Raw genomic sequence first — 24,303 nt, 5'->3', positions numbered from 1 at the left:
CTAATTTATTTTTAAAAAGCCTTTTCCAAGGATGGACTTATTTTATTTTTTAATTTTTTTTTAAATCCCCAATTTTTTTCTTTTTGGTGGGGGTGAGGATTTTCTTTCTCTGCTGAAACACTTCATTTCAAAATGTGCTCAGATGCCTCTAAGTAATATGAATTCTAGTGAATGGTAACGTTTGTATAATCCATTTAAAAAATCACTCCAAAAAACACATTATCAAAGATTTAGTCTCTCTTTGCAGTTCTGTTAGCTAACATGACTGAAAATGAAACTTGCATGTCGTTAGTGTAGACTGAACTTAAGCATGTTTCTCAACTTTTAAGTTCCTGTTTTAGGCAAATGTACTGTAGTTAATAGTTTATTAATTCAACAGAAGATTAGAAAAAAAGGAGAAGGGTTGTTTTTTTTTTTAAATTTTCCCCAAAACTGACAAGTTAGATGACTAAATTAAATCACTCTATTAACAAAATTTCAAGTATTTTTCTTGTCTTCATCTTTGCTCCTATATCTCCTCCCCAAATCCTCTCTCTCAATTCAAATTCATGCCTTAACTTTCTTTAAATATACTGCCTAGACAATCATCTCTCCCATAAAGCGCTTCAATCAAGCCCGTAAGTTGCTTAGAAGCACTTCTGTTCAAAATACAATTTTGTATTTTCTTATATATATTTTTTAAACAGTTACCTGCTTAAAAAAGTCTAACAACAACCTTCCCCATTCATTACTTACTAAATGACATAGAAACTCCCCAATTAGGGTCTCAAGTATTTCTACAATATGGCTTTCTTCATCAAGCAGTTTAATTCCTTCTATTTAATTCCTTCTACAATATGGCTTCCCCACCAAGCACTTCAATTCCTTCTATTTCCTAGTATAAGTCAAAACCCACTTTCCAGACAAACTGGGCTCTTCGCTATTTTCCTTTTTCTTTTTTGAGACGGAGTCTCCCTCTTTTGCCCACTCCGGAGTGCAGTGGCGCGATCTCGGCTCACTGCAAGCTCTGCCTCCTGGGTTCACGTCATTTTCCTGCCTCGGCCTACCGAGTAGCTGGGACTACAGAAGCCCGCCACCATGCCCGGCTAATTTTTTGTATTTTTAGTAGAGGCAGAGTTTCACCATGTTTGCCAGGATGGTCTGGATCTCCTGACCTCGTGATCCGCCCGCCTCGGCCTTCCAAAGTGCTGGGATTACAGGCGTGAGCCACCAAGCCCGGCCAACTATTTTCTAATAACTTAACAGGTTTGTTCAGTCTTTTTATTTACACTTACTCCCTTTTAACTTCTTATTGCTTATGTCCACTTCCATTAGGATTTTCATTTAATGATATTTATTTAACAAATACCTATTAAGTGCCACCCTGGGCCTAGTCCTAAAATAGGAAGTGGGGAGATGCCAGTGAACAGCAATGAAGGATGCTTCCCTGCATTCATGGAGTTTTTAGTAAATGAAAACAAAACACCGGCCGGGCACAGTGGCGCACGCCTGTAATCCCAGCACTTTGGGAGGCCGAGGTGGGTGGATTACCAGATCAGGAGATCGAGACCATCCTGGCTAACACGGTGAAACCCTGTCTCTACTAAAAATACAAAAAATTAGCTGGGCGTGGTGGCGGGTGCCTGTAGTCTCAGCTACTCAGGAGGCTGAGACAGGAGAATCACTTGAACCCAGGAGGCGGAGGCTGCAGTGAGCTGAGATCGCCACTGCACTCCAGCCTGGGCAACAGAGTGAGGCTCCATCTCAAAACAAAACAAAACAAAAAACAAAAAACACCAACTTAAATATAAAACTAAAAACTTATGATAGACACTTGGAAGGCAAGATCTGGAGAGTTATGAGAGTGAAACTGGCGATCTAATTCAATCTCTCAGTTGGTAAAACTGTGAGACCTGAAGCATGGGCAGGATTAGCCAAGCAAAGATTCGATGGAAATCAGTTCAGTCATAAAGAACAGCATTTTCAAATGCACTGAAGTTTATAAAAAACACAAGTGTGTCCATTACATAGTGTGAGGGAATTGCCCATAGAGAGAATACACTTCCCAGGTAGCCAAAGTGGATATACTCCTTCATTTCTTCTTCTAACCTGAGTAATGAATATTTTTAATGTAATTAACAACACTTACAGATTTTAGGTATGATCCTAGATTGTAAACTGCTTGGAGGCAAGATCTATTTATTTTTAATTTTTTAAATGTTTATTTTTGTTAATAAAGATAACTTATTCATCTTTTGTTGAAATGGGGTCTCACCATGTTGCCCAGGCTGGTCTCAAACTCCTGGGCTCAGGTGATCCTTCTGCCTCAGCCTCCCAAAATGTTGGAATTACAGGTGTGAGCCACCATGCTTGGCCATTGACTATTTCTTATTCATGTTTTTGTTCCATGCATTGTTCAACACAATGCACAATAGGTAATGAATATAAGACTGGGTTTCTGAGTGGGACTTGTGTAATTAATTACACAGGATCCTGCACTTAGAAGGGCACACTCTTGCTTTAATGCTCAGATGCCATTGTTCTGAATTTCTTAATACTTTTTTAAAAGGACCCTGAATTTTCATTTTGAATTGAGCCCCCCAAAATTATGTAGCCAATCTTCAATGAATGTAAACTTGCTGAGTGAATTAATGATTCAAGGGCCAACAGGATCTAATTGGAATAGTTCTGCAGGTCATTTTTTTACTAGGGTCTATTATACTCCAGGCACACCATATGAGTCTCATATGAGTTATGTGATGGATGGCTTAGAAATGAGCAAAGTTCTCCTTTAGGAAACATCTTCAGTTCTCAAGTGTACTATTTCTTTCTTTCTTTCTTTTTGAGACAGAATCTCACTCTGTTGCCCAGGCTGGAGTGCAGTGGCGCGATCTCGGCTCACTGCAAGCTCCGCCTCCCGGATTCACGCCATTCTCCTGCCTCAGCCTCCGGAGTAGCTGGGACTACAGACGCACGCCGCCAAGCCCTGCTAATTTTTTTTTTTTTTTTTTTTTTTTGTATTTTTAGTAGAGACGGGGTTTCGCCGTGTTAGCCAGGATGGTCTCGATCTCCTGACCTTGAGATCCGCCCGCCTCTGCCTCCCAAAGTGCTGGGATTATAGGCGTGAGCCACCGCGCCCGGCCTCTCAGTTGTACTATTTCTTAAATAACACATTGAGCTCTATATTGATGTGGTCACTTGTGACTTACTCAGATATTACTGGAACCCTCTCAACTGAAGCAGAATTTTTTTGTGTGTAATTACTTCTCAAATCTACATCCCCAACACTAGGAAATGAGTAAGTTAAAGTCCCAGGCATTGTTTACTAGGCAACAGATCTCTTTGCATTTTGTAAATTATTTGCCACCTGTCGCATATCGCAAGTACGAGTGAGAGATATCAATGTGGAGAAATACATTTCATTCAGGACCATGCTGATGAGTCTACGGAAGTTTGCAGAAAAAGCAAAAGCAGTAAAAAACCTTCAATTAGGACGGATTAACCACATTATATGTGCGCCTGGTAATGAATGACTGAATTGGACCTTCTACAGCTGAAGCTTTGTGGCTTTGGGTGCCTGGAAGAACTAGTTTCGTTTTTAGTCTAGATAAGAACAGTGCTAAGAAATATTTATGAGAAGCTGGGGTAAATATTGAAAATTATTGACTGAATCAATCTTTTCAGAGTACGAGAAGCCCCTTTAAGAATTCAGAAGAATTTTTTTTTAGTTCATTAATCAGTTCACCAAGCTACAATCAAAATTTTCTTACTAAGCTTCAATATGACAGGCTGAGCTCTCACTATCTGTTTGGATCATGATCCATGGATTATGGCCTCCTTAGTGCAGTTGACAACTTAAACTGTTTTAGCTCAAGAGGAGTTTTTATGGGTACTTTTAGCAGTGAGTCAAAAAGGTGCCTGCAGAGTAAATAGGACTTTAAACGACATACCTTTCAATTCATTGCCTCTTGGCAAAATGTACAGATTCCAAGTCTATTTCATGAAAGCCTTCTATGGATCTCAGTGGACTACCTCATGCGTGTACTGAACCTGGGTTTGGGTCATCACTCCTTGTTCAACAGTGACAGAAAACTCTTTTCATTAATAACAATTGCAGAACATTATTATCTTTCAGATAAACTATTAACAGATTGTGAAATTAGTGACTAAAAACACTGCTTTGAAAGAAGGTGAATTTCAAACTTATGCAACCAAGCAGGACTGAGTAAATCCAGCATTATGTCTATTTGGTGATTATTTAGAGATGTGGAGTTATGATTTCGTTAATAGAGTGCATTCGTTTTGCAATGATGGGATATAGTAAACCTGTATCATTAATGAACAAAATATCATCCCTTGATCTTTTTTTCTGAAGTCCTCAGAGAGAATTCCTCCTTGGTGGCCTACTTATACATTGTACATCTTTCATGACACCTCATTATCTTCCTGTACTTAATTATTTTTATCATTTTCTCTCTTTCTCTCTAGCCAAATGCTCCTTGAGTATAAAGACCACTTTATTTATTTATTTATTTATTTATTTTGAGACGGAGTTGCCCAAGCTAGAGTGCAGTGGCACGATCTCCGCTCCCTGCCACTTCTGCCTCCAGGTTCAAGCAATTCTCCCACCTCAGCCTCCCGAGTAGCTGGGATTACAGGCACATGCCACCATGCCTGGCTAATTAAGAACACCTGTTCTTAATATCTTTATCCATAGTTCCTGGCAGATAATAAATGCTTATTAAATAATAATGAAAGGGTGCTTGGATTATTCTTCTTTTACATCATACCATGGTTATGTGTATCTTCTTAGTCCTGATGCCTAGGTAGCTATCAAGTCTATGGAAGGCAGCCTCAGTCCATAGAAAATGTATATCAGGCTGAAAAGTTTTAAGCACACATGAGAGTGTGCCCATATGTGATGGTGGAGAGACTGCTGGAAAGCAGAGTGTTTTCTAATTCTGGGGGGCATGAGTATCTAGATTGAGGAGCAGAGAGAGACGGGGTTTGGGAAGAAAGCAAACAGCACAGAAATTGCCTTGATGCACTGTACACACAGTGAACCACATCCTCACCCTTGTGGGGAGTTGCTCTCTGAGATATCTGGCTTTTGCTCTGACATCGGGAAGGAGGCACTCATTTTTTAAATTTCTGCTCCCAAAATATAGGCTTTAGGAGCGGGGATGGAGAAGCACAGTTAGACCCCTGACAATTTTGTTGTTGTTGTTATAGCATGGAAACGTTTTATCTAATGAAAAAAATTAGGAAGACATTTTAGTTGTAAAATATATAAAACTCTGTGGGGCAGAGTGCCAACACATTCATCTACAGAGCAACAAATATTTCACAGGTGTGTATAAAAGACATCTTGTAAAAAATTCTTTTTATAAACAAAATCAATCTATATTGGACTCTGCTTCTCCCCTTCTATAGAACCAGGATCAGTTCTTCATAAAAGTGTATAAGTACACATACATATATATGCATATACATGCACGGATATACACACATATGTATATGTGTGTGTGTGTATATATATATACACATATATACACATATATATATACACATATATACACATATATATACACATATATATATACACATATATACACATATATATACACATATATATACACACATATACATATATATACACACACATATACATATATATACACACATATATACATATATACACATATATATACATATATATACACATATATATACATATATATACACATATATATACATATATATATATAAAATCTACCTAGAAAGTAGTTAAATTAACTGCAGTAGAAAAGTTTAATCTGTGAATCTAATTAAGCATATTTTTTAAATGTCAATTGGAGGCCCATTTTAACAGGCAGGATAGAAGAATATTAACTAAATTGTGATAATTTATATAGCTCTCATTTCTCCTAATTTAGCTGTTGTAAGATATTTTTTCAAAAAAAAATTTCTTTTTAGCTGCACCAGTTTTCCCTTAACATAATTTCCAATGACAATATAAAATGCAATATATTTATTTATTGACATTTTAAGGTAATTTCTATTTTATTTTTCCTCTGAGATTATTTTAAACTTACATTTTCTTTTTTTGATTTTTTTTTCTTTTTGTAATTGTGCACCCAAAACATTTATTTTTTAGGTACTTGTGATAGACATTGCTCTCCCCTATTTCTGCTCCTTCCATGTATACACAGAATTGTGAGTTGTTGAAGTAATGGGAGACCATTTGCTTTAAGTCTGACTTCTCTCACGATAGGAGGGTAAATATTGGTTAGTTTAAACCAGTTATTTATCTTTCCAGTAATAGAAATGGAAATGGTCACATGATGTAACTCAGCTGATGAGACACAAAGGAAAGCCTGTTGGGAGGCACCTGGAAAAACTGTTATTACTTAATAAGAGGGACAAGGGAAAGATACGCAGTTTTGTAGTCTTTTTGAGGGATGAGAATGCAATAATTGGAGCTGCTACAGCCACTTGCAATTAGGTGGAAGAGATAAGCCTGAGGGCAAAGCTGAGGAATTAGAAAGAAAAGTTGAATAGTTCCTGGGTCAATGATAAAATCCTCTGGATATGCAAGGTTATACATTGTCTAATGTTTAGAGCTATTTTGAGTAGCATCCTCTGTTGCTTTCATTGAAAGCATGTTAACAGACATCACCAATTCTAGAAACTCATGGCTGCTACTGAGAATGGGGATGTGAGTTAATACCAGAAGATGCCATTCAGTTTAGTATTCCTTATTAAATGTGCAGACTCTACCAATTAAGCTTTATAATTTGATACATGGGATATTAGATGAAGACCAAGTTGGGCTTAGGATGAAACGCTATCATTCCAAATATCCATATTTTTGGAATTATTTTAATGTTTAAGATTATATACAGGCATATCTCAGAGATATTGTGGATTCAGTTCCAGACCACTGCAATAAAGTAAATATCACAATAAAACAAGTCACACAAGTTTTTTGGTTTTGCAGTGCAAATAAAAATTATGTGTACATTATACTGTAGTCTATTAAGCATTCAATAACATTATATCTAAAAAGCAATACATACACATTAATTTAAAATGCTTTATTGCTGGAAAATACTAGCATTCATCTGAAACTTTAGTGAGCCATAATCTTTTTTGCTAATGGAGGGTCTTGCCTCAATGTTGATGGCTGCTGACTGATCAGACTGGTGGTTGCTGAAGTTTCGGGTAGCTGCAGCAATTTTTAAAAAGAAGACAACAATGAAGTTTGCTGCATTGGTTGACTCTTCCTTTCATGAAAGATTTCTCTGTCGCATATGATATTGTTTGATAGCATTTTACCCATAGCACTTTTTTCAAAATTGGAATCAATCCTCTCAAACCTTGCTGCTGCTTTATCAACTAAGATTTTGGAATATTCTAAATCATTTGTTGTCATTTCAATAATGTTCACAGAATCATCGCAAGTAGATTGCATCTCAAGAAAATACTTCCTTTGCCCATTCATAAGAAGCAACTACTTTATCTGTTTAAGTTTTATAATGAGATTACAGCAATTCAGTGACATCTTTAGGCTCCACATCTAATTCTAGTTCTCTTGCTATTTTTATCATGCCTGCAGTTACTTTCTCCATAGAAATATTGGACCCTTCAAAGTCATCCGTGAAAATTGGAATCAACTTTGTCCAAACTCCTGTTAATGTTATTATTTTGACCTCCTCCCATGAATCACACATTTTATTAATGACATCTAAAATGGTGGATCCTTTCCAGAAGGTTTTTGATTTACTTTGCCCAGATCCACCAAGGGAATAATTATCTATGGCAGCTAAAGGCCTTCAAAATGTATTTCTTAACAATAAGGCTTCAAATTACTCCTTGATCCATGGGTTACAGAATATATATTGCATTAGCAGGGATGGAAACATTAATCTCCTTGTTCATCTCCATCAGAGCTCTTGGATCACCAGGTGCATTGTCAATAAACAGTAATATTTTGTAAGGAATCTTTTTTTTCTGAGCAGTAGGTCTCCATAGTGGGCTTAAAATATCCAGTAAACTATACTATAAATAGAATTGCTCTCATCTAGGCTTTCTCTTTCAGGCAGAGTAGATTTAGCATAATTCTTATGGGTTGTAGGATTTTTGGAATGATACATGGGCATTGGCTTCAACTTAAAGTTAGCACCTAAAAGTAGGGTCAACCTGTCTTTTGAAGTTTTGAAACCAGGCATTGACTTGTCTCTAGCTATGAAAGTTTTAGATGGTGTCTTCTTTCAATTTAAAGCTGTTTCATCTACGTTGAAAATCTGTTATTTATTGTAGCCACCTTCATCAATTATTTTAGCTAGATCTTCTGGATAACTTGCTGAAGCTTCTACGTCAGCATTCACTGCTTCACCTTGCACTTTTATGTTGTGGAGATGGCTTCTTTCCTTAAGCTTCATGAATGAACTTCTGCTAGGCTTAAGCTTTTCTTCTGCAGCTTCCTTACCTCTTTCAGCCTTGATAGAATTAAAGCGATTAGGATCTTCTTCTGGATTAGATTTGGGTTTAAGGGAATGCTGTGGCTGCTTTGATCTTTTATCCAGACCACTAAAACTTTCTCTCTACCAGCATAAAAGCCTGTTTCACTTTCTTATAATTTGTGGGTTCACTGGAGTAGCACTTTTAATTTTCTTCAAGAACTTTTTTTGCATTCACAACTTGGCTAATTGCTTGGTATAAGAGGCCTCGCTTTTGGCCTATGTCAGCTTTTAACATGCCTTCCTCACTAAGTTTAATCTCATGGAGGTAGCAAGTAAAACAATAGTTACCAGAGGCTGGGAAGGATGTGTGTTGAGATGAGGTAGGGGGAGCGGGGGAGATGAAGAAAGGCTGGTAAATGGGTACAAATATTGAGTTAGAAGAAATAAGTTCTAATGTTTGATAGCAGAGTAGGGTGACTATAGTTAAAAACAATGTATTGTATATTTCAAATAGCTAGATGAGAGGACTTGATGATCCCAACATATAGAAATGATAAATGCTTGGGGTGATGAGTACCCTAAATACCTTGACTTGATTCTATACACATTCTATACATGTAACAACATATCACATGTACCCCATACGAATGTACAAATGTTATGTATCAATAAAAAATTTTTAAAAAGATTATCATAGAATACTTTGTTAATTTCCTTATTATTAATAATACTTTATTTCCACTTCATATGTCTGATTTTTCTTTTCTTCTTTTATAACATACTCCTAGAGACAGATGTCTGATTTTTCAAACCCACACTTTGTTGAAATCTGCTAATATTTTCTAGTGTTTCTCATAGTGAATCTCTACAAAGAGTATATTCAACATACCTCAAAGTCAAAGAAGCTTAAGCCAAAAAGCAAGTTAGATGAATTTATTTCTACAGCAATGACAGAGTATGACCATCAACAGGTCTGGGTTCACAGTCTTAGACTTCAATTCTTTTTCCTTTTTTTTTCTTTTGAGGCACAGTCTCACTTTGTTGCCTAGGCTGGAGTGCAGTGGTGCAATCTCAGCTCACTGCAACGTCTGCCTCCTGAACCTCTGCCTCCTCCTCAAGCGATCCTCCCACCTTAGCCTCCTGAGTCGCTGGGACTAAAGATGCTTGCCACCATGTTTGGTTAATTTTTTGTATTTTTTAGTAGAGATGGGTTTTCCCCACGTTGCCCAGGATGGTCTTGAATTCCGAGGCTCAAGTAATCTGCCCGTCTTGGCCTCCTAAAGTGCTGGGATTACAGGTGTGAGCTACTGCTCCTGGATATATCCCACAATTCTTGTAGCAAGGTAAAATGTTCCAGGACATAAGGTCATTTGCTCCACTGTAATTCCTGGGTGAGTAGCAGCTCCACCAGCAGCCTGTGGAGTCAGAGGAGGAGGAATATCCCAATAGCATGAATCCCATTACCAGAAAAGGATGGCAGAGGTTTTAAACAAGGTAACACATGTCTTCTATGTGGGGTGGGGTGGGTGGGTGGGTAGTAGGTGTAAATAGTTACAGCAAAATGCAGGGTTTCCCAAACAAATTTGACCTGGAACTCTTTTCACTCAAAACATCTGTTACGATTTCTGGGGAAGTAAGTTTTTGACTTAACACTTCAGGAAATTATTCTTCTGTGTATGCAAAACATTTTAATACAGATTAATACCCTGTATCTTCATAGCAATCCTACTATTATAGATATAGCCAGCTTACCTTAGGAAACCCAGATTCAGAGAGGTTTACAGATTTACCAAGTCATGGACACTACTGGGAAAAAATTCAGTCCCAGTTCCTTGTTAAAATTTGTCATGAAATGGTTTGCAGACTGTGAAGTGGTCAGTTCCGTAAGTTGAAAAATTTTTGAACGTACTTCATGTAAGGCTTTGCACACAGCAGGATTGGTGCCATATAATGGTTTTGTCACTATTGCATTTTATAACCCATTAGTGCAATTATACAATGTGAGCTTTGGTATCAAACCATTTAGGTGAGAATTCCAGCTGTTCCTTTTGCTAAGAGTTGTGCCCTTGGGCAAATTACTTTCCATCTCTGACTACCTTTCTTCATTTGGAAAATCATATCAATTGAGGTCAGGAGTTTGAGACCAGCCTGGCCAACATGGAGAAACCCTGTTTCTACAAAAAATACAAAAATTAGCCAGGCGTGTTGGGGTGCACCTGTAATTCCAGCTACTCAGGAGGCCAAGGCACGAGAATCTTGTGAACCAAGGAGGCAGAGATCGCAGTGAGCCGAGATCGCCACTGCATTCCAGCCTGGGTGATAGAGTGAGACTCTGTCTAAAATAAAAAAGAAAGAAGAAAAAAAAAGATAATGATTGTAAATTACTAAACACAGTGATGACGACATACTAATTACTCAATGTCTTAGTTATGATTTTAAGGAAAATTATCACAATTGAGTCATAGTGTAGTGAAAGATTCCAGGAAGTTTTATATTAATTGTATATTTCTCTCTTAATACATGCATTTAAATACAAAAGCTTGTTTGAAATGCATTTTTTTTCCTGATCTGTATTTTCTGATATATTTTGGGCAAAAAAAGAGAAAGACATGAATGGAAATCAATTAACCCTAACTTGAAACAGATGTCCCTAAAATGTGCTGTATGTTCTTTCACCCATGAGCAGCTAACACATCAATTATGGAAAGGGAGAAGCATCCAAATCCAGATGTTTTGAATGTCTTTGGAATTTATACACTTTCTTAACTATGGCTAGTTGAGTTACTGTATGCTGATAACTGAAATAACTTCTTAATTGCACGTCATTGTAATTTCAAAGACAGCTCTTGGCCTTTTAATAGTAACAGAGGTGATTCTGCTCAATGAGAAGCAGATGCCAACACAGAACTAAATCAGATGCAGAGCATATAGATAAAATTTTTCTGAATTATTTCGTCAGAGCAGGGATTCAAACATATTTCCTTTTGCCAGTCTTACTTTATATCTTGGTGCAGTTGATACATCTCAAAGGAGCTTACAACTGTTCCACATGGGAACTTATTCCAAGTCAGAAAGAGGCAAATACAGTGCATTATGATTTAGAGTCCGTTGCTGAAAATAGGATATTGTGGCTTAAAGAAATATTTAGACATTACTTAAGCTAATTATTATGGGATTGAAATGAAGGTCTAAATGTTATGACTGGAACTGCACTCATGTTTCCAAACCTTTTTAACCAAGCCAGTAGCTTGCAGAACAAACTTCACTTTAGTGTAGAACACACACGCACACACATACATGCACACACACGCACATGCACACATGTGTACACGCACACACCCAGGCATGCATACATGCACACAAGCACATGTGCATGCACTCACACACATGTATGCACTCACACCACGCACACACACAAAATCAGGGCCAAATAATAGCATAATTTATATGAATATAATCTCCCAATTTTACTTCTTTCAAAACCCAATTGGTATTTCTTAGCTTATTTAATATTGATAATTCATATCTAAATAGTCAAAAACTCTGATTGCCTTTGAGAATTTGTGTCAAGAACCTGTATGCCAGATTATCTTAAATATACAGTCATACACTGCCCCAAATTCGGACTTTCCTTACTTCCCTACTTTCCTTACTTCACTACTAAACTATAATAGTAGAAAGTTTCCTTAGGGCAATTTCACTCTTAAATATGATAACTCTTGAATTTTACATGGACTTATGCAAAAAAAAAAAATCCAAAGCTTCTTATCTGTATGAAATGAGGAAGTTTGGCAGTGGATGGAGACAGCATGTGTCTTGAGGGATGGGGAGGGTATGGGATGGTTTGGGACTATAGCTCAAAGTCTTGTGTTTCAAAGATGAACTTTCTTTAAAACTCTTGCTTAGGCATAAGTTCATAGGATTTTGAGAATGGTTTTTATCCAAGTCTTTAAGTATAATTGATTCTTTGGGAAAATGTTACTCGGCTATTTCTTAAAATTGCTGACCCACTCCCACATATGTGAGTACTCATATCCCATTTAAAAAGCATGGAAAAGAGGCAGGGGCAGTGAGAATTGACTTCATGGAAAGTCTTTCATGACTATAAAGTAAAATCATATGCAGGACTCAACTTTTATGCAATTTTCTTGCCAATGTTATTAGGTGGTCAACATATTACCAACCTGCCCTAACAAACAAAATCTGCAGGAAGGGCTCTTGGTTATGTGTTGAAAAAAAGGTGGAAGGAGGAGGGGAGTAGAGTGAGGCCACTCCTATCTGGTGTATACAATAATACCCTCACTCCATTAGAAGAACTCAGGGGTCTAAATAGATTCAGTATTTAGTAGGAAGAATGAAGAGGATATAACTAGACCTTTGTGAGGACATCATTTTACTTTCCTCTAACATAGAGGTTGGATTGTTCTACATGTGTATTTTAAAAGATTATATAACCCACCACTTAGAAGGTACGAATAGAGCAAAAGAACAAGAGGCTGTAAGGACATAGAAGCAAAAAGATTTCTCCTAGTGGGGCCCATGCTGAAAGTTCAGCTATAGCTGTGAATGTTTCCTCATTGTTTGGTTCAGCTCATCAATACAGCTAATGAGGATTTGGAAGCAGATCTGATTATTTCAAAAATTAGGAAGCAAAGTAGGTTTACTGTAAAAATGTCCTTTTAATTTATTTTTCCAGGACATTGCAATGCGGGAAGCAGGTGATAGGATGGGATTTTGAGTCTAATTGAGGAGAGGGAATCCTAATATAACAGGAGTCAAAAACTTTACTGTAACTCAGAGAGGCGAAGACAACCAATACTCACCAGGAGTTGGGAAGAGACTACTAAATACCAAGCCGAATTTAAAACTTAGCTCAATTGGATAATTCATATGATTTCTCTATGTCATTAATACCGTTTCTCTGGAAAAAGAGAAAGCTTAGTTTGATCAGCTTTTCTTCCTAAATGTATCTACAGAGCAGTGTCTTCTTTCTGCCTTGTCACTACTTGTTCATTCGGCACTTTGTATGGATTTGTGGCTGTGGTGGAGTGGTGCACACTCTAGTCTCTCTGACAGCTTGGTAAGAGTCTAGTGGATGGATAAAGAAATGGATAACCCAGTTCATTTCCTGATGCTGCTATAGGCCCCTCGATGTCAAGTTGTAAAGCTCACTTGGGCTCCATCTGGTGGTCTACTCTGCTGCGCTTTCCATAAAGCCACCTTGTCCCTGCCAAAACCATCCCATCTGCCAAAGTCCACACCCGATTCTCAACCACTTTAAGAGAAGTTTTCTATACAACCTGTTTAAGTTGTATGGAAACCAAAGGTGACTAGGAAAGGTAAATCTTAAGACTTTCTTCCACCTGACAAGATCACAGATTGGTATGGATAACCAAAGGCTCAAGATTTGGAAACGTTTCTGATAGTCTTGCTCTCCTGTTAATCAACATATTTTTTCTCTCCTCTTCTATCTTCCTATCTCCCCTTCTTTGTGCCATCTTCTGGGAATTTCTCCCTCTGTTCCAAACTCTTTTATAACTCTGATCTCCTCTCAAACCTTATGGAGACAAGGACATTTTCTCTGCACTGGAGAAAACTCTGATACTGATCTTCCAGGCTTGGTTATTGAAATACAAAACGGTAAGAAAAACAGATTTTTAAAAAAGTTTATTGGATCATTTTTCAAGATAATGTAGTGGCTTGCAAGACACTTTTCTTACTGCATTATCTTATTTGCATAACAGCAGTGAAATATCTCTTTTCATTCCCACCGCAATAAATGGTTTCTTTTTGTAATACATTTTAGTCTTCCTCCAGCAGATGGATAGTTTAGGTCTATTAGTGCAAAGCTGATGAGTTCATGTATTTAGGAAGACAAATTAATATTTGTCTTGTTAATATTTCCAAGAGATCGGGTGCTATATCTAGACTTCTCTTTTCCAGCTTTGATCCAGAGAAGGAACATGTTTGATAAATGATAACAATACCAAGTCAGTACACTCTTGTTCTGTTTCCTTTGTGGGTACCTAAGGAAGAAATTGCTGTGTAGGGTATCCTAGCCCAATGCAGGGGAGCCTTAGTGCAATTATGAGGGCACAGTGGCATGGTCATGCATACAGAATTTGTAGGGTCATCCCAGAGGCTCTTTCATTTCCTATGTGCTGTGGACATTGTGTTGAGAGCAAAGGAGATGGGTGGGTTGCCATTTAGGAGGCTGTTTTAGGAGGTAGAAATAGTAGATGGGTCTATATACAGGAAAAGCTGAATCAAGAGGAAACTGAATCAATAAGAAAACTGAATCAAGCAGGTAAAGAAATAGCATGCTTCACTGTAGCAAAAAATTACAAACTTTTGTCCTGGAGGCCAGCAAGACACTTAGGTAGTAGGAAGTCAAAGACTGGACACTGGAGACCCATGGATGTCATTGAAGGCCCACTGTGAAGCCAGGTGATTGCACTCTCTTGCTAAAGACACCAAGTCTCCCAAGCCACATACTTCTTCCTCCAGATATTATATATCACTTCAGAGGTAGAAGACAAGGGAGAGATAAATTACAGTAGAAACTAAGCAATTTTTCCCCAAGGCAAGGCTGAGCGTTAACTAAAGGGATTGTTTAGCAAATAGCCATATTAGACAAGGATTTAAGAGAGATTGGTCATATCACACTCTTTCTATCAGAGGAACACTAAACTCAAAAGAGGTCCCTACCTTTTTTTTTCTTCTTGGAATGCCACTGTGATGGTAACACTTTATGAGCCATTTTTTGACTTTGAAAATTTAAGCCATGTATTAAAGATGGTGGAGCAAAAATAATAGGAGCCTAGGCCCTCAGTGACTTTCTGGGGCCACCATACCAACCCTGGAGGGCCTACTTCTGGACTTCCATTAATGAAAGAATAAAATGCCCACATTTTTAGTCACTATAGTCAGTTCTCTGTTCCTAGCAGCCAGAGTCAATTCCTAAGTGATACAGTGTGTTTTTTTCTCTGAATTTCTTCAGTTAAGAATTTATAATTTCCCCTATACACATGTTATGTACTCAAGGCAAAGGTTATTCTTTTCAGAGATGCAAAAGAACACATTAGAAATTTTCAAAACATTACCTGAGCAATTGTGTATGGCTGAAAGTCAAAGTAAACTGCACAGTTTTTTGAAAACCTACACTTAAATGACATAGAGTATGTGTGTTCATGTGCTCACATGTGTATGTATGCTAATACAAACATGTTTCTGTTGTTTTGGTCCAATAAAGTGTAAAGAAAAGCAACACCTGGAAGATATTATGGCAATATGATGGATACAAAGATAGAATTACTGCATGTAGTTTATGAAAAACTGCAGAGGTATTGGCACTCTGATCAAGAGTAAATAAAGGAACTCCATGACTCTTTGAAATCTGACCATATTATAATAATATTAATTGATGTTTGGGGAAGGGTGGTACTGAAATCCCAATGCAAAAACTGTGTGGATATACTCCACCCATACTTGCCTTCTGAATCTTGGAGACAAGAGCCAAGGTAGGGCCTTCTCCCTGGTAATCTCCAGGGTGCACCCTTCACATAGTAGGGCTTGGAATAAGAAGTCCACATGAGGCGGGAAACTATTTTGACACTCCACTGAAAATCTCTACACAATAAATCTAGTGCTAAAAGCTTACTTTCTTTCTGGCAGAATATATGAAAGTTTCCCTGTTTCCAAATATCCTTTTTTATACTTCAAAAGTAAAAAAAAAAATTACTTACCACATTATTCTGTTTCTTCTAAATAGTACATTCCATAATTTAACAAAATTACCTTTTAAAATGTAAATGTTCCTGGAAGGTGGGTGAAGTGGTTATACTCTCAGGGAGCATAAATTTTGTTTGAGAAAAGTGAAAATAGATGGTTGTATTGGCAGCATGTTGGCTCATGGAAAAGTAATTTTAAGATATAAGATTTGACAAAAAGGGGCAGCCCACTTTGAAAGTATTAAAGTCCTTCTTAGCAGAGGTATTTGGGGGAAACTTGTGAAATCTTTTCACTTAAGGAGAGTTCTGCTTTGCTTTTTACCTTGGGTCTTACCTAGGGTAACTCTATATGTCCCAGGTTGCATGTGACAGTCTCAGTTCACACCAGTTGTCCTGGAGTAATTATTTTACATTGAAAATTGTCCCAGAATGCATAATACGTTTTATGGAAAATCAATTTTTTTAAGCTAAAATATTTTATTCCTTCTATAACCTTTTCATAAGTAAAGTAAAACAATTTATTTTTTTATTTTTATTTTTTATTATACTTTAAGTTTTAGGGTACATGTGCACATTGTGCAGGTTAGTTACATATGTATACATGTGCCATGCTGGTGCACTGCACCCACTAACTCTTCATCTAGCATTAAGTATATCTCCCAATGCTATCCCTCCCCCCTCCCCCCACCCCACAACAGTCCCCAGAGTGTGATATTCCCCTTCCTGTGTGAAAATCAATTCTTATACCATTTCTCTTCCTTTAGATAAGAAGGAAGGGCCCTCTCCCGTTCAGAAATTCAAGGTAACCCTGTGATCCTTTTATATAGGAGAGCTCACTCTATCTTGGTGCTTCTGAAAAGTTGGTGTGTTTGTGGGAAATGGGACAATGTGTTGTCTTGGGACAAGATTCTCCTATGCATTGAATGGTTGAAAACCTCAGAATTGAAAAAGGATACAATGCTGCCTTTCACTTGCGCCAGTGAGCTAGATCCTGGGTGAAGTGGTAGTTGAAGTGTTTTTGAAAGCTCAGGGGTAATGATAATTATCCCTTTTCCATACCAGGTATGTCCCTATGCTTGGAGAAATTGTAATTCCAGTTTTAAAGGTCTGCCATGTGCTAATCTGAGGATTAAAGACATTTCTTTCCAATGTGTAGAAACGAGCAGGCAAAATTGATGAAAATGTACACTGTAAATTCCCAGTGAAAAAGCACCTGATTGCATTAAGCTATTTTAATATTTAAATGTTGCCAACTATATGTATTTGCTGCCTGCATAGATAGAAATTCTTCCTTGTCCAAAAACTCCCTTGTCCAAGAGATTTTATGTACAATGACAGTGCTAATCATCACCACTACACCTATAAGTGTGTCAGAGGACACGTAACCAGTGCAAGGTGTCTTGATTGAGTTTCCCTACAAGCAAACTCTGAATGCAAATAGTTTACTTAGGAGGTGATCTCAAGAAGTCACTAAGGAAGTGGAAAGTGATGAGTTAGAGTAAGGGAAGAAAGCCAATTAAATGTATAATTGAGCAGGCTATCTCTGTGGAAATAGTGGCTCAGTTCTGTTAGGGACCTCTGGTAGGCTGTGTGTCATCTCAAATAAGGTGTGAGGGAACTAGGGTATTTATCTACCAATTTTTTTATGGTCATTTTTTGAAGTCTACTTCAAGGATGCATAAACTTCTCAGAAATTCTGGCCTAATCAATGCATAAGCAGAAAGGTCTTTCATGGCCAGAAGCCTTCAAGCAGAGTCTCAGGTGTTTGAATTTAAAATCCCGTGACTCTGCACAAAGGTGACTGCAAAGTGATGCAGATAGGACATTGACGATGACTGGGGTAGAGAAGCAGGAAAATCAACTACATATGAAATATAATTTCAGGAGTGTCAACAGGATCAGTCCACACCCCATGATGGGCCCTGTAAAAACTCTTTACCATCCATTAATATTCTATTGTGATATTTTATTTTCAAGTTGATTGATAAATGGATGTATTAATTCCATATAATTGAAGATTTTAGGTATTTAGCTTCAGATATGACTGGATCCAGAGTTTCTGATATGCCATCATGATTCTTTCACTTTCTTTTCAGGCTGTTTTCCTATATTTGCGCTTCATACCTAGGTAGGTCATCTCCATTGGTAGAAAAATTGGCTACCAGTTTTAGCAAGTCCAGAAGAAATAAGGCATCTGTTTTATAGTAGTTCCAGAATAAGTCTAAGGAAACTCTCATTGTACTAAACTGGGTCCCTTGTACATCCCTTAACTGGTTATTGTGGCTATGAAATTTGGCTGCAATGAGTTCAGATACCTACCTCTAGAACTATGGGAGCTGAGTAAATTTTGCCTGGATCACATAGCCTGAGGTATAAGTGGAGTACTTCATTAGAAGAAAATATGGTTGCTATTGTTAGAAGACAGAATGGATAGCGGATTAAACACACACACACACACACACACACATCCCAGAAATATACCCACATACATTGCCATTTTATCCTTTAGCTTTGATTCCTGAGAAAATCCATGTTTTCCTAGAGATTTGTTAACTTTGTTAGTAGCTATGTGACTACTTTCCTTCTGGCTTAGCAACTAGATAATTGTGTGATAGTGAGCAATTCATTAAATAGAATGTCAAAATGGTATGCTCCCTCCCTTGGCAAATTTCAGTGGGGCCTCAAAGATTAAAGCACCAGGTATGAAATACCCCTATGTTCTAGTGGGATGTTCTAGGCCATCTGAGTGGGGCCTTAAAATTGGATCTTCCATCTTTAGCTAAACAATACCATATGAGCTCATTAAAAGGATCCAGTGAGCTTGTCCAAAGACATTATGGTTTTGATTATTCTCCTTCTCATTATAGAGGAGAGCAGGTGGTGCTTTCCAGATAAATCGAATGAGGCAGACTTCCATGAAACCCTTGAAGGACTTAGTCTGTGCTCCTTCAGTTGGAAAAAAATGAGGAAGAGTCCCTGACTTACACCTAGAAACTGAGGCTGGAGCTGCCTATGATGACAGAGTGATGAGACAGATTTGGAGGAAAAGAAACACTCTTGGTCATTCTCTCAGTGTGGTGCAGTGGTTCAAAGTGTAGTTTCTGTGTCTCTACTGGTTAAGTCCATATTTCACATCCACCACTTATTAACTAAGTGTTCATGGTTGCGTAACTAATTTTTCTGTGGCTTTGTAGAAATAATTCAAATGAGGGTTGTGAGAATGAAATGAGTTGAAGTATGGTGAGTGCTTGACACTGGGTTTGGCACATAGTGAGTGCTAGCTTTGATTGTTATTTCTTCCTGACAAGTTAAAGTAGACATTTGCATGGCTCCCAGAAGGTAGCTGGATTTGAGTTATCTGGAAGGGGAGCCTGACTATGAAGGTCACTAGAGGAACATGGCAACACAACTAGGAAAGTCTCTGTAGGAAACTCAGAAGCAGGGACTGAGGAAGGTGTCATACACAGTCAACTAGAGGAGACACTCTGTAGCATTGTGGTCTTCAGCAGAAGAGGACCCTGGATAATGATGGGTTTGTTTGAAAAGCTCCCAAGGACACCCTAAAAGTACAAACTTTTTGAGATCTGCTCAAGTGCACGAATAGAGAAAGGAGAACTACATGATACCAATTCCCCTTCTTTCTTTCCCCATCTTTCTTCCACATCACATAAGAAAGAAGCAGCTTTGTGACCATTGAGGAATACAAAAGCTAGAATGAATAATAACATAAAACTGGAAAAAGGTGACCACTTTCCAAAACTGGCTTAGTTAGGCCTCAGCTATGAATTAGAGGAGAGACAGAAGCTTTGATATTGTTATTGTTGGAATTGTGTCCCCTTCCCCCAGATTTTGATGTTGAAGCCCTAACCACCAATGTGACTATATTTGGAGATAGGGCTTTTAGGAGGCAGTAAAGGCTGAATGAGGTCATGGAGGAGAGAGAGTGCTAATCTGATAAGTGGCCTTATAAGAAGGGGAAGAGAGAGAAAGATCTCTCCTCTTTCCCCACCATCAAGAAGGTGGCCGTCTGTAAGTCAGGAAGAGATACCCCATCAAGAACCAAATCAGCTGTCACTCTGATCTTGGAATTCCCAGCCTCCAGAATTGTGATAAATAAATTTTAAGCCATTTAGTTTGTGGTATTTTGTTATGGTGCCCAGAGCTAACTGATACGGATATTAAACTTTTCAATGCTTGGAAAATTAGATTATTCATTCACACTATTCATTAATACCTGAGAGTAGTTGGAAAAGCCCAAGATTTTATCCCAGGGCAGGAAAGAAGTATTTGATAAAACAGACTTAAAAGGGCAATGATGAAAAGGAATGAACACACTGTCTGCATGTCCAGCTTTTCAATAATTCAGTTGTACACTTAACTTCTGTAGAGCGTGCTTCATTTCTATAGAATTATAAAGGAGTTGGATTTGATGGGACCCAGGTCTCCATTACAGCTCAAATATTTTGTTTTACATTTAATGATTCATTTTCATTTATGTGAAAGAATTTCAGGTATTTTTGTGAAAAGTTTCTGAAAATCAAATATGCTAGGAAACTTCAAAAAATGAGGAGAACAGGAATACAGCAAAAAGGATCTTTTGGAGAACTAGAAGTTGCAGGCTTTCTAACCACAAACCACACTCTTCCTATGCCCAGCATTATTTCCAGTGTTAGCCATTTCATTTGAAAGGGCTTCCCTAGACTAAATAACATTTACTGAAATTCCGATGATTCCTATTGTGACAAGGAGCCTCTAGTGTTCTCAAAAATTCTTGGTAGCCTAAAACCTAATTTTAATAAGTATAAATAAAATTTTAGAGATCACACACACATGCACACACACACAATGTCTCGACCATTATGAAAACAGAACTCCAGAACTTCTCATTAATAAAAACAAACCTCATTATTTCAAGTAGAGAGTAGCTAACTATCATGTTTTTAAAAATTGCTGTTTCTCTGAAATATGTCCAGAGGATTTCATATCCACCCTCAGGCAAATCATCCTAGTAGCTTTTCTGTAAAGATAATTATCCTTTTTCCATACCAGGTATGTCCGTGTGCTTGGAGAAATTGTAATTCCAGTTTTAAAGGACTGCCATGTGCTAATCTGAGGATTAAAGTCATTCCTTTCCAATGTGTAAAAATGAGGAGGATAAATTGATGAAAATGCACACTGCAAATTCCCAGTGAAAAAGCACCTGCCTTCATGAAGCTATTTTAATATTTAAATGTTGCCAACTATGTATTTGCTGCCTGCATACATAGAAATTCTCCCTTGTAAGCCTGCCCAAACCAAGAGCCAGGGTTGTTAAAAATTCTTTATACATTTTTTCATATAAATCTATTTCTTCTTATACAAACATTCTTCTGATGTTGGAATGATTCATAAAGCCTCAAATCCCATGGATGTAACAGGACACCTCTCGATTATGCATCCCAGGCATGAGTAATTTCACAAGCTGAAGGAAGGAGATAAATGCATTAAAATGTTCTTGCAAAACAAATTTCAAGGAGAGAAAGAGATGAAAATGGGAGTGAATGTACAAATGGAAGATTTACCTCATTGTGCGGAAAAGAATGTTAGATCTGCCTTTGCAAAACTCTTTAATTCATAGTTCTACACAAATAACCCTGGTAACTGCACTGCCCAAAGCCTTCCTAATATGAATGTACCTACAAATGTTCAGTTTTGTCTCTGCTAACTACAAAGTATGAGAACTGTATGTTAATTACATTTTACAGTGAATCATGGGTCAGAGACCCTGTGAGAAATTATGATAGCCTTTCATTCAGCATCAGTTCTATTCAGATGCAGAGTGGTTAGCCACTTCTGAACTTTGCAACTGTATCATCAGCAGCTAGATATTGAGCCTCTACTGTTTGGAAAGTCATACTGTAGCTCGATAAACACTGGGTATGGCACTTGTGAGAGCCAGGGCTTAATAGCAGAAGGCAAATAACCATATAAAGCAATATCATTTGTCCTGGGTGAGAAGTCCTAAAGATGTGCAGAGGTGGACAATCAGACGTTGAAATGACTAAAGAAGTCTTCATGGATGAGTGGACAAACTGAACTTTAAACACAAAGTAGTATTTGAATAAGTGGAGGTGGAGAGTGTTCTGGACTGTTACATTACAGAAATGGAATCATATATACCTAGAGGCTGGAAAGTTTAAGGCATCTTTGGAGAAAATTTAGATTATTGGATTTAACCATATGAAATTGCTGTTCTTATAGGTAAGAAATGGTCAAATATCACCAAGTGCACAAGACTCAAGACTGGCATAGTAGAAGACAAAGGTGGATATATGGGTAGGTAACAGATAAAAAAATTGAGAATGCCATGGCAAGGTACTTGGAGTGAGGCATTTCATTTAAACATCATCAACAACATAGCAACTAAAACCTAAAGAATCATAAATCTTAGAGAATCTTCTAAGTGTCTTAGGAAAAACTTAGTTTAACTTCTGATTCCTGAATTACCTTCATCATCTGTTTTTATGGCCCCACTGATAATGAGTATACAGCTAACTAAGCTGATTATCTTTTGAGTCAACTCTACTTGTTTATTTATTTAATGTTGATCCAAAGATTAGCGCTACAGGCAAGTTTAAAACTTTGAGTCCTCCCTTCAAATTTGAAAACAACAGCTTAAATTGTCCCTTTCTTATTGCTTTTATTCTTGTAACCTAATGTCAAGTCCCTCATTATTCTAGGTGGTCTGCTTTAGACAAATTCCAATTTGTGAAAGTTTCTCTGTAAGTTGAACACTAAATACAACACAACATATTAACTGGATATTGTATGATTATTTTTCCTCCCTTCTGGACACATATTTCAATTAATACATAATAACGTAATTAACTTTTCTTAGCAATTACTATACAAAGGGAAATCATATTGAGTTTACTGTCAACTAAACTTAAATGTTTCCCACCAGGCTACTAAGGCATCAGACCCGTATTTTATAGTTGTGTAAATGGTTTTGTATACCACAATTAGAACTTTTCATTACATACCTGTTAAATAACATCTGGGTATAATTAGTCTCTTGTTTTAATCTGTTGATATTGCTATTCTTTCAGTTAACATATTATCTATTACTCCCAAATTGTTTATATACAGGTTTGATCAGCATGCAGCAAATGACCTTATAATAGGCATTAATAAAATTGTTGAATAAGGCCAGAATCTGAAGTACATTCCTAGATGACTATTCAGATTCATATTAACTATTTAGAAAAAATTAGTTGTGAAATTTGTCTGACCTTACTGCAATTTGGTCAACATTTCTCAATCTTGATCATAAGTAGAGCATAATGTATTTGTCAGGTATCTTGATAAAATACTGAATGCCTGTGCTTACAGGATTCTCTGTCTCATAAGCTTTATCTCAACATTATTACCACCACTTTTACTTAATGAGTTGTTTCTACAATACCTTTGTAAAGCAAAAGTGAAGTAGAATATAGCGGCCATCTCTTATTATGCAGCAGGACCCTTTCAAATCAATTACCTGCTGAATTACCTCTATATCTCAATGCAAATAATAAACAGTTGACCTTTGAACAGTGTGGGCATTCGGGGCACTGATCCCCCTTGCAGTTGAAAATTCACATATAACTTTTCAATCCCCCAAAATTTATCTACTAATAGCCTACTGTTGACCAGAAGCCTTACGATAACATGAACAGTCAGTTAACACACATTTTGTATGTTATATGTATCATATACTGTATTCTTACAATTAAGTAAACAAAAGAAAATATTATTAAGAAAATAATTATAAGAAAGAGAAAATATATTGATTATTCATTAAGTAGAAATGGATCATCATAAATATTTTTATCCTCATGTTCAGTATGCTGAAGAAGATCAGGAGGGGTTGGTCTTGCTGTCTCAGTGGTGGCAGAGGCAGAAGAGGTGGAGAAGGTGGAAGGGAGGCAGGAGTAGAAGGCACACTTGGTGTAACTTTATGGAAATACGTTTTAATTTCTGTCTGACTTTTTGCTTTTTCATTTCTCTAAAAATATTTCTATATATGTTACTAATCTTTTCCCCACCATTTGCTTTCGTTGCAGTGCCTATATGATAGAAGGGTCCATGTCACAACAGAAGTCAAGAGC

At 37.3% G+C, this 24,303-nt stretch overlaps 2 long non-coding RNA genes across 2 annotated transcripts in view; both read left to right on the top strand.

Moving 5' to 3' along the window:
- Window positions 1–24,303, top strand: part of LINC02917 (long intergenic non-protein coding RNA 2917) — an 89,729-nt gene that overhangs the window by 8,140 nt on the left and 57,286 nt on the right. The gene's annotated exons all lie outside the window — the stretch shown is intronic.
- LOC101928166 (uncharacterized) overlaps window positions 1–24,303 on the top strand; it is a 45,966-nt gene that overhangs the window by 8,142 nt on the left and 13,521 nt on the right. Inside the window, exon 2 of the long non-coding RNA NR_136178.1 lies at window positions 22,415–22,489. This is a non-coding gene — a long non-coding RNA (uncharacterized LOC101928166). The remainder of the gene's footprint in view (window positions 1–22,414; window positions 22,490–24,303) is intronic.

Source organism: Homo sapiens, chromosome 3 (genome assembly GCF_000001405.40).
Source record: "Homo sapiens chromosome 3, GRCh38.p14 Primary Assembly".
In the NCBI taxonomy this organism is placed as follows: domain Eukaryota; kingdom Metazoa; phylum Chordata; class Mammalia; order Primates; family Hominidae; genus Homo; species Homo sapiens.
This window is presented reverse-complemented; position numbering and strand designations above follow the sequence as displayed.